At 40.1% G+C, this 18268-nt stretch overlaps 1 protein-coding gene across 2 annotated transcripts in view, besides 1 other annotated feature; it reads left to right on the forward strand.

The window, feature by feature from the left end:
* Positions 1–18268, forward strand: part of TRIM38 (tripartite motif containing 38) — a 28430-nt gene that overhangs the window by 1057 nt on the left and 9105 nt on the right. The window contains exons 3-9 of one of the 2 annotated variants that reach the window (XM_047418080.1): positions 2477–3075; positions 5467–5562; positions 8011–8241; positions 9196–9218; positions 9315–9427; positions 10932–11072; positions 11721–14237. In XM_047418080.1, coding sequence (XP_047274036.1) covers positions 2665–3075; positions 5467–5562; positions 8011–8241; positions 9196–9218; positions 9315–9427; positions 10932–10969 — 912 coding nt within the window. In that variant the 5' untranslated portion in view covers positions 2477–2664 and the 3' untranslated portion in view covers positions 10970–11072; positions 11721–14237. Of the gene's footprint in view, positions 1–2476; positions 3076–5466; positions 5563–8010; positions 8242–9195; positions 9219–9314; positions 9428–10931; positions 11073–11720; positions 14238–18268 lie in introns of those variants that run through there. The other variant, NM_006355.5, reaches the window with a different exon arrangement.
* Positions 7161–8360: an enhancer, noted in NCBI's record as "MED14-independent group 3 enhancer chr6:25971247-25972446 (GRCh37/hg19 assembly coordinates)". NCBI's record gives its function as "activates an origin of replication core promoter dependent on BRD2, BRD4, P300/CBP and CDK7 cofactors, and independent of MED14, by STARR-seq in HCT116 cells {active_cell/tissue: HCT116}" and the evidence as "EXISTENCE:reporter gene assay evidence [ECO:0000049][PMID:35650434]".

The following is an 18268-nucleotide window of genomic DNA, read 5'->3' on the forward strand; positions in this document are numbered from 1 at the left end:
TCACTATTCTCCTTTCTCTTTCTTTTGCCTATTATACCTCTGCTCCTGAAAGCAAAAACAACAACAACAAAAACACAAACAAAAAACAACCGACCTTATTAACCAGTGTTGGTTGTTGTTCTTTGTGGGGGATGGGGGGGGTCGAGGTGGAGTCAAATTTTATTGTCATGATGGTGTAGGAGCCAAGGGAACACTTCCCCTTTGCCTTCTGAAGTTCACTGAAAAATCGACTCACAAAAGGCAGGCTAATTGGAGAAAAGGCATACAAATTTATTAACAAGTACATGGGCTAGAATCACAGAGTGATTACCCCCTCTGCCAATGGGGGTAGATACTTATATAGCCTTATTTATAAATACTTATGTATAAATACATAAATATAAATATGTATGCATATGTATGTATGTATAAATATGTATGTATACTGTATAAATATGTATGTATAACGTTTATACATGTATACATATTTATTTCAGAGGGGAAGGGTGATATCAGGAGAATATAGGTAATTCTTTGAGGGGCAGTAAATGATTACTAGGGAGAATAAATGAATATTTGGGAGGATGAATGAATGGAGGAACAGAGTTTAACTTGTAAATGGTTCTCTTTGGAAAATGAATGAGCCTGAGAGACAGACATTATTTTGTGAAAGTGTCTGATTAGGTCTGGTTACATTCTTAGTCCTCTTTTCTTCAGTACAAAATGAGATAATAGGGGTTGGAAGGAAAAACAATTGTTCTTCTTGTCTAGTGTGACTGGTCTTTATGTAGATAGGGGAAAAGTCTCTTCCAGCATCTGCTGATCTCTAAGGGCCTTTAATTCAAAATACTCATTATACCAGGGAGTCATATATTGGGGTGAAGCTCCCCATACTCCTTCAATGGAATCTGTCACAGATCACCCAATTGCATAAGTGTTACTACTAATTACAAAGAGTAATTCTGGTACCAATTATTCTTTTTTTTTTTTTTAAGACAGATTCTCGCTCTTTCACCCAGGCTGGAGTGCAGTGGTGTAATCTGGGCTCACTGCAACCTCCCCCTCCGGAGCTCAAGTCATTCTCCTTCCTCAGCCTCCTGAGCAGCTGGGATTACAGGTGTGCACCACCACATCTAGCTAACTTTTTGTATTTTTAGTAGAGATGAGGTTTTGCCATGTTGGTCAGGCTGGTCTCAAACTCCTGACCTCAGGTGATCTGCCCGCCTCGGCTTCCCAAAGTGCTAGGATTACAGGCGTGAGCCACCGTGCTGGCCTGGTAACAATTATTCTTGAAGTTAACTAGAATAGGAAAGAGTTTCACACTCCCTGAGTTCTCTCTTTTACAGCTTTTGTGAGGAAGCCTGCATTGCTTCTCCCAGCACTTGGTCCAAGGTAACTTTCTGTGATAACAGAATGTTGTATATTGAGGCTGTTATGTAGCCACTAGTCACATGCAACTATTAAGCAATCAAAATGTGGCAACTGGAACAGAAAAACTGAATTTTTTCATTTTAATTTTTATTAAGTTAAATTTAAATTCCTACTCATGATAGTGGCTACTGTATTAGCTATACAGCTAGATGTTTGTGTATCCTCTAAATTCCAATGCATTTCTTCTTTCTGGAGAGAAGACTTTAGCTGGACATGGTGGCACATACCTGTAGTCCCAGCCACTCTGCCAGGGTGAGGCAGGAGGATTGCTTAAACCCAGGAGGTCGAGGCTGCAGTGAGCTGTGGTCATGCCACTGCCCTCCACTACAGCCTGGGCAAGAGAGCGAGAACTTGTCTTATAAGAAAAGAAAAAGAGGCTGGGCACGGTGGCTCATGCCTGTAATCCTGGCACTTTGGGAGGCTGAGGCGGGTGGATCACAAGGTCAAGAGATCGAGCCAACCAACATGGTGAAACCCCATCTCTACTAAAAATACAAAAATTAGCTGGGCGTAGTGGTGCACACCTGTAGACCCAGCTACTACTCGGGAGGCTGAGGCAGGAGAATCGCTTGAACCCGGGAGGCGGAGGTGCAGTGAGCCGAGATAGCGTCACTGCACTCCAGCCTGGGTGACAGAGTGAGACTCCGTCTCATTAAAAAAAAAAAAAAAAGTTAGAAGACTGAGAAAAGAAAAATAATGAAATAATTTAGAGCAGTCTGAGCTATGTGAGGTATGCAAAATTTATCAGGACAAGTGAGGCAGGAGTATAGGTCTTCAGTTAAGACCCCATGTTTAAAAGCATTTTGTTCCTGACTGGCTGCCTCATCTATTACCTACATATTCCCGAGATTTGTAATACAAAGAACAATGTATAGCCAGTCAAAAGCTTATGCTATTTTAATGTAAATTCTTGGCAAACAACTTTAAAACTGCTTTAAAACTGCTTTTTTTCCTCTAAACAACCACTTGTAACTGCTTGCTAATGAGGGCAACTTGAAACTCTGCACTTGGGTTGCAGTTCTCAAACGTGGCCCAAACAACCTCAGCCTCAACTTCTTCCTTTTAGGTCCTCTTTTCTTCAATACAAAATGAGATAATAGGGGTTGGAAGGAAAACCTTCAAGACCTATGGAAGTCAGTTGCAGCCAGCTCATCACATAGAGGTGCAGGTGAGGTGTATTTTCATCACGGTGGAAAATTCTGGCTGCTTCATCTCCATCTCTAGAGCCAATATTGGAGCTTTTCAATAAAAGCTATGGCCTCAACCACCAGCACCAAGAAGATGATGGAGGAAGCCACCTGCTCCATCTGCCTGAGCCTGATGACGAACCCAGTAAGCATCAACTGTGGACACAGCTACTGCCACTTGTGTATAACAGACTTCTTTAAAAACCCAAGCCAAAAGCAACTGAGGCAGGAGACATTCTGCTGTCCCCAGTGTCGGGCTCCATTTCATATGGATAGCCTCCGACCCAACAAGCAGCTGGGAAGCCTCATTGAAGCCCTCAAAGAGACGGATCAAGAAATGTCATGTGAGGAACACGGAGAGCAGTTCCACCTGTTCTGCGAAGACGAGGGGCAGCTCATCTGCTGGCGCTGTGAGCGGGCACCACAGCACAAAGGGCACACCACAGCTCTTGTTGAAGACGTATGCCAGGGCTACAAGGTGAGTGTGTGGGCCCGGGAGCTTTGGTAAGTACCAAGTCTTATCCTGCTCCCCAGGAGCTGAGATGATTTAACTTGAAACCTAACATTATGACTTGGAAATACAGCTTTCATCATGTCATTCTTCTGAAAAATAGTTTATGATGATTTCTTGCTCAATTATCTAGACTGTCCATCCTGACCTTCAATGGGATGGTTGGACTCTTATCTCTATCCATTTGTGTTATGATGAATTTCTTTTTGCTTTAGAACAGGTTGTTCTCAAACCAAACACCCGCATTTTTTCTTGTTTCACACCATGAATATCATTTGAAAAACCACAATATGTAAAGCCATGCAGTAGGGCCTGAAAACAGGGAAGAAAGACCCATCACCTTTTAGGTATCTACAGTCTAGTAAAGAAAACAAACCATCAAAAATGTCTGCCTGGAGGTCCCTGGTTTTGGTGGTGGGGAGGGACATTTAGGGTAGAGAGTGGTTCATCTTAGAAGTAACTCCTGAAGGACACGTAAAAATTGAACACCTATTGGGGGATTTTCATTTGGGGAATGAAGGGTCAGTGACATTGAAAATATCACTCTGGTACCTCTACTTTTTTTTTTTTTTTTTTTTTTTTTTCCTGAGGTAGGGTCTTGCTCTGTATCCCAGGTTGGAGTACAATGGTGCAATCTCGGCTCACTGCAGCCTCAACCTTCTGGGGCTCAAGCAATCCTCCCACCTCAGCCTCCCAAGTAGCTAGGACTACAGGGATGCCCCACCATACCTGGATAATTTTTTTATTTTTTGTAGAGACATGGTCTGCCTTTCTTGCTTATACTGGCCTCAAACCCCTGGTCTCCCTCCCATCTCAGCCTCCCAAAATGCTGGGATTAGAGGCATGAACCACTGTGCCCAGCTACTGTGGCATGTCTATGATAAAAGGAATATCAAGGAGTAAAATTCAAACTATCCGTATAAGAAAGGGAGGAGAGGGCAGATTTTAAGCACGATTCAGGAAGAAGAGTCAAAGATTTGGAAATGCTTGGTTGTGGAAGGTGAAGCAGAGGGAGAGGTTTTGTGTACCATCCAGATTTCTTGCCAGAAAGCATATTAAGGAAGGTGGGACTTTGCTGTTGGCAGCATGGAGGAATGGGCATAGTCCTGATGTCCTTTTTCCTTCTCTGTCCTGCCTAAATTTGAGGAAAATGTTGTCTCCAGTGTCAGGCTCCTTATTCTGTCCTCCATGAGGCAGAGGTGGTCTTGTATGAAGGCTCTAAGTCCTTCTAAGGACATGTCAATCATGACCACCACTCAGCTCATGGCAGCTCTTCCTTAAACTCCATGGAGCAGCTAATAACTGCGATGATCATATTCCCATTTGAATTACTTTTCCACCAAGTAGTAAGAAAAGGAACCAGCTTATGTTGAAATTGAGTTTTGTCACTTACTAGATGGGCAATTTTGGGCACGTTACTTAATGTCTTCACACCTTGGTTTCTCCATCTGTAAATGGGGATAATAGCAGTGTCCTCCCTCCCTAAAACACATACACAGGAGGTGGTTATAAGCTTTGAGGACATTAAAATATAGAATGCATAGAATAGCACTTGGCATATAGTAAGGACAATGTCATCTTTTGCTAAAACAGTTACATAGAACCTTTTCCTGAGAACACTCGAGAATGAATGAGTATACTTGTTGGGTTTACAGAGGACAGGAGACAATTCTTTCAGCATTGACTACAATTAGCAATTTGGGTCAGCTTCAAATCACTTTCAATAGAAATATGAGAAACTGTTTTGAAGAATAAGCTAAAAGCTTGACATGAATACTAAATCATTTTAAATTGGATTCATGATACCATTGTTCAAAAGATACCAGAATTCCCCTCTTCCATGAACTGTTTCTAATAACCAGCTGGCATCCTGATTTTTCCTGACTCATAAGACACAAAATTTCATGTGTGCCAAACACTGGTATTGGTTTTGCTTGGTTCAGCATGTTGTTTTACAAAATCTTTTAGATGATGATTACCTTGTTCTATATCCAACTTTTTCCTGGCAGGACTCTAGTGGTGGACATAGCTCAGGCTCTGGGTCAGCAGATGAGATTGCAATTGTTGCTCCACCACCTGGCAGTCATAGCCCTTTGGGCAAGTTATTTTACCCCTTTCTTAGTCTCATTTTCTACAGCACAGAAATGAAGTTTAAAATCCTACCAACTATTCAGGGTTGCCAAGGGGATCAGTATGTTCCTGCACATATAGCCTTTAGCATGCTCTCTAGCAAAAAACAATGAGGACTCTATAAATATTCACTATTATTCAAATATATCTTAGAAGATTGGGATTCCCCCTAGGTCCCTAATGAAGAGTCAAATTGAATAGGCTTCACTTATCAAATTTTTCCTTCAGGAAAAGCTCCAGAAAGCTGTGACAAAACTGAAGCAACTTGAAGACAGATGTACGGAGCAGAAGCTGTCCACAGCAATGCGAATAACTAAATGGAAAGTAAGAATCTGACTTCATTGATCTCAAGCTATTTTCCATTCTAGAGCTTAGGCATAGGGGATGATTGAGGAAAAGCACAATGAGGATTTATTCTCACTAAACCAGATTGAAAAAATGAAACCCAAGGAAGAAACCATTATTTGTACTTATGCCCCTGGTTCCAGGTTTACATCCATGAGTATTTAGCACCAATCTTTCCATCTTTAAACTGTAGTTGGCTGGGATTCCTGATACTTCAGTCAGAAGAAGCAGAATTAGTATGACTATTTACCTAGAAAAAGCATCGAGTGGGTCTCAAACTTTAAATACGTCAAAATAAACCTGGTTTGCAGGCCTCAACTCATTACCCTGGCACTTTTACCACAGTGGAGCATCTGGCTCTCAACTTTACAGGTACAGAAACCAAGCTTTGTGAACACTTAGAAAACAGGATCACTCCAGATTGAAATTCATACTACTCTAGCTCATGAAGCTGATGAAAGAAATATACTTTATTTATTTATTTATTTTTAAATTATTACTATTTTTTGAGATGGAGTCTTGCTGGAGTGTAGTGGTGCGATCTCAGCTCACTGCAATGTCCACCTCCCGGGTTCAAGCAATTCCCCTGCCTCAGCCTCTTGAGTAGCTGGGATTACAGGCATGTGCTACCATGCCTGGCTAATTTTTTGTATTTTAGTAGAGACGGGGTTTCACCATGTTGGCCAGGATGGTCTTGATCTCCTGACCTCGTGATTCACCCACCTCAGCCTCCCAAAGTGCTGGGATTACAGGCGTGAGCCACTGCACCCGGCCTATACTTGATTTATAAGTACATCACAAGTAATGCAACAACCTACACACTTGCAACTACAAACTTTCAGATTATTTCCGTGGCTGACTAACCTCCACATTATCAGAGCCACATTCTTTTATGGAAATATTTAGGTTTGTGCAAAAGTAATTGCGGTCTTTGCCATTAAAGTAAAGGCAAAAACCACAATTACTTTTGCACCAATCTTTATATTTATATAATTCACTAGCTTGCAGTAAAATCCCACAAGCTGATTACCAATTTTCTCTCTTTCAGGAGTCCTCTCTAACCTCTACCCTGATCTTTGTTTGTGGATGTTGCTCTTGAGCTCCTGAGTACACTCTTACTTCCCCCATTTCTAGGATCTTGGGCAATGGGGAAGACCTTGATTGTAACTAACATATATGAAAACCCGTCTATACAAGAGTTAAAGCTGCACCTGTCTCCTACACAAAAATTCCACCTCATCCTAAGTCAAAGACCCTTCTTCTATATCATAGTCATCAAAACACTGTATGAATTTATTTTTATTTTTTAATTTTTATTTTTTTAAGATAAGTAGAGAGTTTATTTGGGCCAAGTTTGAAGACTGCAATCCAAGAACATAGATTCAAATTGCCCTGAATACACACTCCCACTGCATTAATTTAGACAGCACTAATGGAAATTGCAACTTTACATCTCCTCAGATGAGAGTTTCACTTGATTTCTGTCAGTCTTACACATAGGAATGCTTAAGATGACCCTAGGGTAGTAGAACAGTATTTCTCAGTTAACCATAATAAATGCCTGTCACACTCAAAGCTCCCCCTGCCAAGAATTATGGACCCTCTTACCAGCCTGGTTGTCTTAAAATCCAGTCTGGGTGATGTTCATTATAAGCTTTTACTTCAAGAAAATCGCTCCAACTCAGAAATCTAACTTCTTAAATCATAAGTAAAAACCTCTTTTTATCCTTGTAACTGATAAAGTGTTTGAACTTGGCCCTAGTTTCACAATTAAATTATCTAGCACTCCTAACCCAGCTTTCTCCTGTGTCTTGGCTGAAGAACAAGAAAATTAATTGGGTGACTATAAGGAATCTGAGGCAACCTCTTCCACATCTGAGTGCCTGCCTCCCACACATGACTCTGCAGCAGGAAACTGGGGACATTCTTCCAGCTTCAGTGACTCATGAGAAAATAATGTCCCAGTGGCTGATTGTGTGTGTGTGTGTGTTTGTGTGAAAATATATATAACACTTAAGCATTTAACCACTTTTAAGTATATAGTTCAGTAGAATTAAGTGCTTTTACATTGTTACATTGTTGTGCAACCATCACCATTCCCATCTCCAAACTGCAACTCAGTTTCATCTTTCATCTTCTAAACTGAAACTCACTACCCATTAAACAATAACTGTCCATTTTCTGGTCTTGCCAACACCTTGTAACCACTATTTTACTTTCTGTCTCTATGAACTTAACTACTCCAGATGCCTTGTATAAGCAAAGTCTTACAATATTTGCCCTTTTGTTTCTGGCTTATTTTGCTTGAATGTCTTCAAGGCTTGTCATGTAGTAGCGTGTGTCAGACTTTCATTCTTGTTTATCCATTCATCCATAGATGGACATTTGGTTTACTTCCACCTTTTGACCATACTTTCTTGACTCCAGGAGAAGGTACAGATTCAGAGACAAAAAATCCGGTCTGACTTTAAGAATCTCCAGTGTTTCCTACATGAGGAAGAGAAGTCTTATCTCTGGAGGCTGGAGAAAGAAGAACAACAGACTCTGAGTAGACTGAGGGACTATGAGGCTGGTCTGGGGCTGAAGAGCAATGAACTCAAGAGCCACATCCTGGAACTGGAGGAAAAATGTCAGGGCTCAGCCCAGAAATTGCTGCAGGTGAGGCTGTGTACTTGGAGTAGGGAAAAAAGGTATGTTATAGTGCTATTAAAGGAGAATGGTAAGGAAGCATGGGAAGATAAAGTAATGTTTCTTTTAGATGTACATCAGTGCCATCAGGCTGGCCTTCACTAATTTATAGGGTACCTTTATGTCAATTAGAAAAATAAACTTCTGAGGGAACACAGCTTGGCCAAATGAAACCACGGGATAACATTTACCACTGTTTGCCTCCTTGGCCCATGTGCAGAGAACCCTGGTTGTTGACTCTCTCCTGAAATACTCCACTAGGTGACTGATGGGTGATGAAGTGGGGCAGCCAAAATGAGTGATAACCTTTTCCCTGATTTGCTTGTAGAACCCTTGCTCCAGAGCTGTTATGGTACAATCTACAGCTTTATCTGTAGGAAGATAAACATCTGGAGCCATTAATTCTGGTTCTAACTAACAGGATTGGTGACTATACTGTAAGGCTGAGTGTATAGCATGATTGCTTTACCACTGTGTGATACCTGCTACCACCATCTTAGTGGCAGTGGCCCAGTCTCAGGGCTGTGCACAGATTCACCACTAAGGACCTTTATGATAAGTGTTCTCTAATCTGGGCTCACTGTGAAGGAAATCCGATCACCAAAAGCTAGTCCTTACAGAGGGAGCATGGACAAAGCTCCTGGCCCTCAGACTTCAGCAAGGATGAGAATAGATGCAAATGTTGATAAACATCCTGCCATGCTGAATCTCCCAGAAGCTGGTAGGAATTATTCCATCTGGGTATCCATCAATACCTAAGACTGGTGGGAATTACTTTGTTTGAGTATCCATCAATATCTAAGACTAAGACTAGGGTAACTCTCTTTACTTCTTCGGGTAAAGCAAAGAAGAATAGCCCTGCATGACAAGCCCCATGAAATACCGATGTTCCCATGCTCACCTTTTCTTTTTGTTTCTTTATAGAATGTGAATGACACTTTGAGCAGGTAAGTCCTGTTTGAATGCAGGAGGGGAGGGGTGTGCGTATATAGAAATGAATGGAATGCACCTCTGAAGAAATCTCTCGCCTCTGCTTATTCTAGGAGTTGGGCTGTGAAGCTGGAAACATCAGAGGCTGTCTCCTTGGAACTTCATACTATGTGCAATGTTTCCAAGCTTTACTTCGATGTGAAGAAAATGTTAAGGAGTCATCAAGGTATGTTCACTAAAGAATTCCTGAATACTGTGGATAGAAGGGGCCTTATGCAGTAACCAAGTTTACCACCTGTCCCTTGGCAGGCTCACAGCCAGAGAGGTTGTTTAGTTAATTTCAGTAGAGCTTTCATACTTTCTCTAGTTAGTATGATTCACTGCTCAGTGAATGTGATGAGCATTGCATTCTGGTTATCTGTGCAAACCTTTCAAATTCTTATTCTTTCACTTATTAGCCATGTTACTCCAAGTGACTTGGTTTCCCCCTCTGAAAAATGAAAATATTAACAGCTCCTACTTCATTGAGTTATCATCAAAATTAAATGCATCAACATGTACAAAGTGCTTAGCCCTGTGACTGACACATGATCATAATAGCACATCATGGTATTAGATCTGATCATAGTGTTTATTATCAATAGCTCAGCCAACTCTTAGAGCAATGCAAGAAAAGTAGGTGAGTATGATAACCTATCATTCACATATTTTAGGAACTTGACTTAGATAACACAGATGACAAATGTTACAACCAATTTACAGATTCCAAAATGTTAGAACCATTTACTGAGTTTCCTGCTCCCTTGATTTTTTAAATCAGTGCTGACTATACTTTCACAAATTTGTATCCGTAAGTACAAAATCAAAAAAACCCCTGAAAATGGAAAGTTTTATCATGATTCATTTGGCTACAAAAATCTGGCCTAACCTGAAATGATTTGGTGGTTATATTAGTTATCTATTAGTACAAACAAATTACCATAATTTAGAACCTTAATACAACACTGATATGTTATCTCAATTTTTGTGGTTCAGGAATCTGGGCACAGCTTAGTTGGGCCTGCTGCTTAGGGTCTGATAAGGCTGCAGTTAAGGTGTTGGTCAGGCTGTGTTCTTATCTGGAGGCTAGGCTAAGGAAGAATCCACTTCCAAGCTCACTGAGGTAGCAGGCAGAATTTCTTTCCTGATGGTTGCAGGACTTTGGCCCTGGTTATTTCTGGCTGTTGGCTGGAGGTTGCCCACAGCTTCTACAGGCCACCCCTCAGCTCTTTGCACATGGGCTTCTAACATGGCCAGTTATTTCTTCAGAGAGAGCTCAGGAGACAGACTCTTTAGAGAAAATCTGCCAGCAAGATGGAGTCTTACATAATGAAACGTAATCATAGAAATTATATCCCATCATCTTTGCCATATCCTATTGGTCAGAAGCAATTCATAAGCCCTGCTCACACTCAAAGACAAGGAATTTTACGAGGGTGTGAACACCAAGAGGCAGGAATCATAGAAGGCCACCCTTGAGTCTGTCTTCCACAGTGGCCAACCCTGAACGGCACTGAGATGAGACTATTTAAAAGTCTTTATTTATCCCACTTAATTTGAATAAATGTTTTGCTGCAGATATATTGATGAATTTGATTACAGGGCTCTGCCTTAGGCCATGATGGGGTTGAACTTTAGAGTATATGCATTTTTTTGCCTTTATAACTTCTAAACTAATTTGAATGGCAAAGCCCATTTTGTTCCAGGGATTTCAGAAAAGGAATTATAGACCTGTGTTCCCCTCAAATACACAACAACAAACAACAACAAAACCCAAAAGCACTCTGTATTTCATCCTATACAGATGACAGGAAGGAAGAACAAGACTTTGTGTAAGTTTTGCTGGGATTTCACTGAGTCAATTTGCCTACTCTCATCTTTTACAGAAGGAATCATAATATGGTTCAAGTGAAACTATTTCTTTCTTTCTTTCTTTCTTTTTTTTTTTTTTTGAGACAGAGTCTCGCTCTGTCGCCCAGGCTGGAGTGCAGTGGTGCGATCTCGGCTCACTGCAAGCTCCGCCTTCCGGGTCAAGTGAAACTATTTCTTAAATGGGCTTATCTTTTAACTAAATATTTCTCCCCTCTTAAACACTGTTTATTAAAATTTTTCTTTTTTCAAATTTTTTTTTGAGATGGAGTCTCGCTGTTACCCAGGCTGGCTTGCAGTGCCGCAATCTCAGCTCACTGCAGCCTCTGCCTCCTGGGTTCCAGCGCCTCAGCCTCCCGGGTAGCGTGGGATTACAGGTACGCACCACTATGCCTGGCTGATTTTTGTATTTTTAGTAGAGATGGGGTTTCACAATGTTGGCCAGGCTGGTCTCAAACCCCTGACCTCAGGTGATCTGCCTGTCTCTGCCTCCCAAAGTGCTAGGATTACAAGTGTTAGTCACTGTGCCCAGCTTTATTACAAAAGTGATAGGAATAAATTTTATTTTTATTTTTAAATGTATGTTTATTTTATTTTACATTGCCTTCAAGCAGATGCAACAAATACATTTTAATCAGTCAAACAATATAAAGGATATAAGGAGAAAGTTCAAGGTTTTTCCCACCCGTCTCCAATCTGACTTCTCTAGGTAGGGTGATCTATATCTTTCCCTAAGTTTGTACAAACGTAACATATATACACTGTCTCTTCTATGTTACTCGTTACTTTTTATGTCTAATATTCCATAAGAATATAATAAATATATGTAACCATATCCCTACTGATGGAGCTTCAGGCTGTTTTTAGAACTTAGTTATTACAATGTTGCTACAATAACTTTCTAGTCCATGCATCCTTATATCCTGGTGCTTTCATTTCTTTTGGGAACATACCCCAAACTGGGATTGCCGAGGTTGTTGTTAATCTTAATATATGGTACCATATTACTTGACTCAAAGTTGTAACATACACTCCTACCAGCACCAGGAATAATGACTCACATATACTGAGCACTCTTTAGTCTGTGACAGATTAGAAAAGCTTTACTTTTCTTGGTTCTTGTTTTATATCACAGTCCTCTCTATATGGGGCATTTTTGCTTTATAGAGGAGGAAATATGACACAGAGAGGTTAGGTGAGTGTTGTAGGATCTCATAACTAGAAGGTAGTCATAGAAAGAGTCTAGAGTCTAGAAACCACTCTCTCACCATTTTGCAATGTGGCAGAAAATGCAAAGTTGTTATTTACTTATCTCTTTTAGACAGGGTCTCACTCTGTCACCCAGGCTGGAGTGCAATGGCCCCATCATGGCTCCCTGCAGCCTTAAATTCCTGGGCTTAAGCAATCCTCCCACGTCAGCTTCCCCAGTAGCTGGGACCACAGGCAAGCACTGCCACGTCTGGCTAATTTTTTAAAAATTTTTTGTAGAAACACTATCTCTTTATTTTGTTCAGGCTGGTCTTGAACTCCTGGGCTCAAGCAGTCCTCTCGCCTCGGCCTTCTAAAGTGTTGGGATTACAGGCATGAACCACCATCTCCGGCCTGAAGTTTATTTAATCCATTGCCTTGTGGACTGGGCATTGAAGTTGTGTGTAGTTGGGTTTTTTTGTTGTTGTTGCTGTTGCAGACAATACTACTGTGAACATTCTTATCCATGCTTCCTTGTGTCCCGTAAATGTTCCCTCCAGGGAGATACCTTGGAGTGACATGCTGGTGTGAGGGATGCATATCATAATTTTACCAGATACTACAGATCTTGAAATTGTTCCAATTCTACCCCACAAGCAATATAAGAGCTCTCACTCCTCCAAAACTCCCTGAGTCTTTACTTATATAATTTATGATTTTGACAGTCTTACAGATTTAAAATGGTACCTAATTGTGTACTTAATTTGTGCTTTTCTGATTTCACTAGTGAGATTGAGATTCTTTTTGTATGTCCATTAGCCCTTCAGGCCTCTGTGATTTACCCATGATTTACTGTGGTTTAATAATTTTTATTGGGTTCTTTTCCTTATTGATTTATGGGAACTTATTATAGCTGATATCTTCTGGCATGTGGATGGCATTTTGCATTTTCATCCTGTTTTTTGATAAATAGGGTTTCAAAATTAAGTAGACACATTTTCCTTCAAGGTCTGTGTCTTTTATGTCCAAAGAGCTTAGTCATCAGTGGGCAGTGAATTTTATCACCTAATTAATTTTATTAGCCCCGTGTGCTATGCCTGTAGTTCCAGCTACTGGGGAGACTAGGGCAGGAGGATCTCCTGAGCCCAGGAGTTCGAGGCTGCAGTAAGCTATGATCACGCCACTGTACCCAGCCTGGGCAACAGAGCTAGACCCTGTCTATTAAAGGAGGAGGCCGGGTACAGTGGCTTACGCCTGTAATCCCAGCACATTGGGAGGCCGAGGCAGGAGGATCACTTGAGGGCAGGAGTTTGAGACCAGCCTGGCCAGCATTGTGAAACCCTATCTCTACTAAAAATACAAAAATTAGCCAGGTGTGGTGGTGTGCACTTGCAGTCCTAGCTACTCTGGAGGCTTAGGCAGAATTGCTTGAACCCAGAAGGCAGAGGTTGCAGTGAGCTGAGATTGTGCCACTGCACTCCAGCTTGAGCGACAGAGTAAGACTCCATCTCAAAAAAAAAAAGAAGAGAGATGAAGGAGGAGGAGGAAGAGAAAGAGGTGGGGGAGGGGAAGGAAGAGAAAGAAGAAGAAAGGGACAAAAAAATTTAGCTGTCATCTTTGCTCTGATAGCATTATAATGATGATGAAGACAATTGCTAGGTTGGTGAGAGAAGGCTATATACACACCAGAACTCTCCACGTATATGGCAAGTTCATATATTTTGTTAAGTATGTCTCATTGGAGACCTTCTTTTCCCGTAACTATGACCAGTGCTCTGCCAGCTCAGTCAACAACAACATTGCATGTTGGCTCCATACCTGGACTCTTGGTCCAATTGGTAATGAAACCATCCCACCAGTGTCTTCATAATATATATATACACACACACATATATATATAGTATTCTCTCCCAGTGTCTTCATAATATATATATATACACATACACACATATATTATATTCTCTCTATACATATTTATTTATATATCTATATCTATATCCTTCCACCTCAGGTCTCCCTCTGTCTCCCAGGCTGAGTGGTGCAGTAGTGCGATTATGGCTCAACCAATGAGAGGATCAATGGCAATCCTCTCATTTCAGCCTCCCCAGTAGCTGGGACTACAGGCATGGGCCACCACATCTGGCTGATGTTTAAATTTTTTTGAGACAGCATCTCTATATGCTATAGATATATATAGTATCCTCTCTCTAATATGGATAGAGGATACTATGTCTATATCTGTATCTATCTATCTATGGAGAAGGAATACTATATATCTAATAAGATGTAATCTATATTATATATAAAAGTGAAGCATTGATTGGTACATATAATATATATATTGATTACTGTGTGTATATATTTGTTTTTTCGAGACAGGCTCTCACTCTGTTGCCCAAGCCGAGTGGTACAGTGGTGCGATCATGGCTCCACCACCTGAGCTAAAGTGATCTTCTCACCTCAGCCTCCCCAGTTGCTGGGACTACAGGAACAGGCCACCATACCTGGCTAATTTTTTAATTTTTTTTTGAGACAGGGTCTCCCTTTGCCACCCAGGCTGGAGTGCACTGGCGCAATCTCGACTCACTGCAATCTCCACCTCCCAGGCTCAAGTGATCCTCTCACCTCAGCTTCCCGAGTAGCTGGGACTATTGGTGTGCACCACAATGCCTGGATAATTTTTCATATTTTTTGTAGAGATGGAATTTGGCCATATTGACCAGGCTGGTCTCAAACTCTTGGACTCAAGTGATTGACCCGCCTCAGCCTCCCAACGTGCTGGGATTACAGGCATGAGTCACTGTGCCTGGCCTGATTATTGTACACATTTTTGATGTAATGTATTATATATGTCATATATGACAATCTAGATGAATATATTAAAGATTGGGTTTTCATTTATATATTGTAAAATACATACACTATACATATATAATATGTAGAACATATGCTATACATATTATATATGTATATGTTAACATATATAATACATACACATATAATATGTATAGTTGCAAATATAAAATTTGGTTTGTTATTTATATTATTTTGTGCAGGAGTTCTATATCTATGTCTATAAGCGGGAGCCATAATTTTCTATTCTTTGTAGGATTTGGTATGAGATTGGCATTACTCATGCCTTGACTTCTAAATTTCCTATAAAACTGACAAGTTCCATTTTTGCTTGATAAAGATGCACGTTTTATTATCTGTCGGTAAAATTTAAAGTAGTGATTTCATTTCTTTAATGTTAGGTCTGCCCATGCTTTATTTGTTTTTTGAGTGAGTTTTACTCAGAAATATTTTTTCTAGGAAGTAATAATTTTATCAGTACTTTCAATTTTATTAGTAGCATAAGATTTATTATAAAGTTCTGTAATATTTAAAAAGTTTCTGTATTCATTCCATTTGTGCCTTCTGTCTTACTTTGATAAATCTCATTGGAGGTATGTCTATTTTATTAAATTTCTTTTAAAAGAAGCTACCTTTTTTTTTGTTTGTTTTTCCTCTTTATTGCATTCTTGTTTTCTTTAACTTCACTGTTATATTGTTTAATATCTATTTTTTCTTTTTAAAAAATTATATTTGGCTTTCTATGTTCTTTTTAAAATTTAAATTAGATGCTTGGCTCATTAATGTTCAGCTTTTTAATTTTTCTAAGATAAGCATTTAAAGCCTACAAATTTTCCTTAAAATTCTGCTTTAGCTTCATTGTATATTTTTATAAATAACTTTTTATTATTGTTCCATTCTATACATCTTCTAATGACTTATTAGTAGTTTACATTTCCTAATATTTAGAATCTTTTTAGTCATCTTTTTATTATTGGTTTATAATCTTATATTGAGGCTAGAGAAAATGATCTGTGTAATACAGATTTATTGAAACTTGTTCAGACTGTTTTCTGCCTAGTATTTACTCAGTTAGTGCATGTTCCATCTATACCTGAGAAAACTGCATATTCTCTGCTTACTATTATTAAACAATTGCTGAGCTTTATGTATTGACTATGAGATTGCGCTTCTTAGATTGTTCAGACCTTCCGTATCTTCCCTTATTTCTTTCTTTTGGTCTGCCTGATCTATCAATTATGGAAAGAAGAATGTTAAAACATCCCATGATGATTGTAGATTTGTCCATTTCTCCTATAATTCTACAATTTTTGCTTTGTATATTAACACAATTCTAAACATGAATTCACTAATAATGTAGTACATTTATGTTTAAAATTGTGTTATCTTTTTTAGGTGACTCCTTTCATTCTTTCTTTTTTTTTTTTTTTGAGACAGAATCTCTCTCTGTCACCCAGGCTGTAGTGTAGTGGCGAAATCTCAGCTCACTGCAACCTCTGCCTCCCCGGTTCAAGTGATTCTTGTGCTTCAGCCTCCCAAGTAGCTGGGATTACAGGCATGTGCCACAATGCCCAGCTAATTGTTGTATTTTTGGTAGAGCCAGGGTTTTGCCATGTTGGGCAGGCTGGTCTTGAACTCCTGGCTTCAAGTGATCCGCCTGCCTTGGCCTCCCAAAGTGCTGGGATTACAGGCATGAGCCACCACACCTGGCCCTTCTTCCATTCTTAATAATGCTCTGACTTAATATCTTTTGATATAATACTATAACAGTATATGACTATATTATCTATCTTTTAGCTTCCAATCTTTCTATATGTTTTTGTTGATGTGTCACACCAATAGATAGGTGGAATTTTAAAAATCCAATTGATATTTTTTCTCTTAAGTGGTATTACCACCCCGTAAACATTTTAATTTCTCAACATGGGTTTTCCTGGGTCATTCAGGTAATATGAATTGAAACCCCAAACTTCTGTGAGTCAGGCTGATAAAAGCTAACTGAATAGAGTTTGAAAAAGGAGGGTATTTACAAAGGTGAGGAGTTGGGAAATCCACAAGGAACAGGAAGCACCCAGAACTAGGAACAGTTAGAGAGCCATCACCTCCTCTGGGCCTCAAGTGGCAGGTGTAGGGAGCTGTAACTATACTAGAGTGTGCCCAGAGGCAGAGGAATGCAGACCCTCCAAATCATAGCGTGGGACTGGGGTACTGAATACTCCCAAGGCTGCTTCTTTGTGCCCTATGGTCTCCTCTGGTGCTTCCCATTGGCTGAACCAAGCCAGAGGGCGGAAAGCCTGGTTAATCTGTCCATGTCAGCCTTCCTGGGCACAGAGCAAGACAGGGAAAAGTGAGGGATTATTTGGAAGAACAAACAGAGAGCATCCAGCACAGGAAGTGTTTCTGAATACTTGAATTCCTTAATTGTCACAGACCAACTGATCAACATTTAACTCAGTAGCACAGTGGTTTCTTAACTCTCTTGTTAGAACATCCTATTACCATTTTTTATTTTTAAAACTGCATACTGTTCAGTATCTCACTTTAGGTTATCAGATCTTTTTTCTGTCTTGTTTGATTCTAGTCTGATATTTTTCATGTATATTGGTCCTCAGTGTATTATTATCTCATACTAATGCTTATGGAACATTATCTGAGGGGAAAGAGAAGAGCTTACAATTAAAAGTCATGGGACTAGGCATGTGTCATGAGACCTGGGTCTTCCAATAACAAGCTAAGACATTAGCTGAGTCATTTTCCCTCTCTGATTCTCAATGTTGGTGGTTATTCAGTAGAGAAGGGAAAAGGTATCTTTCTGCTCAACTGTCTCATGATTCCTGGAAGTCCTGCATGGGAGAAGAACTTTGGACAGGATGGTAACCATATTAACAGGTTAGTTCTGTACCTTGGCATCCTTGAATAATTAAGACGAAGATGATGTTGATGATATCATTATTACTACATGTTGTTAGAAGAGCTGAAGCAGGACTGGCTTGTCTGTCATAATGTAAAAGAGTCTTGGAAGATGTCCGGGGTCCAGGGTCCAAAACCCCTCGTGGCCTTTGGAACACCAAGCTCTGTGCCAAATGGTGGAAGGCTGCCCTGCCGCACCACAAATCTA

This window comes from Homo sapiens, chromosome 6 (genome assembly GCF_000001405.40).
Source record: "Homo sapiens chromosome 6, GRCh38.p14 Primary Assembly".
Lineage (NCBI taxonomy): Eukaryota > Metazoa > Chordata > Mammalia > Primates > Hominidae > Homo > Homo sapiens.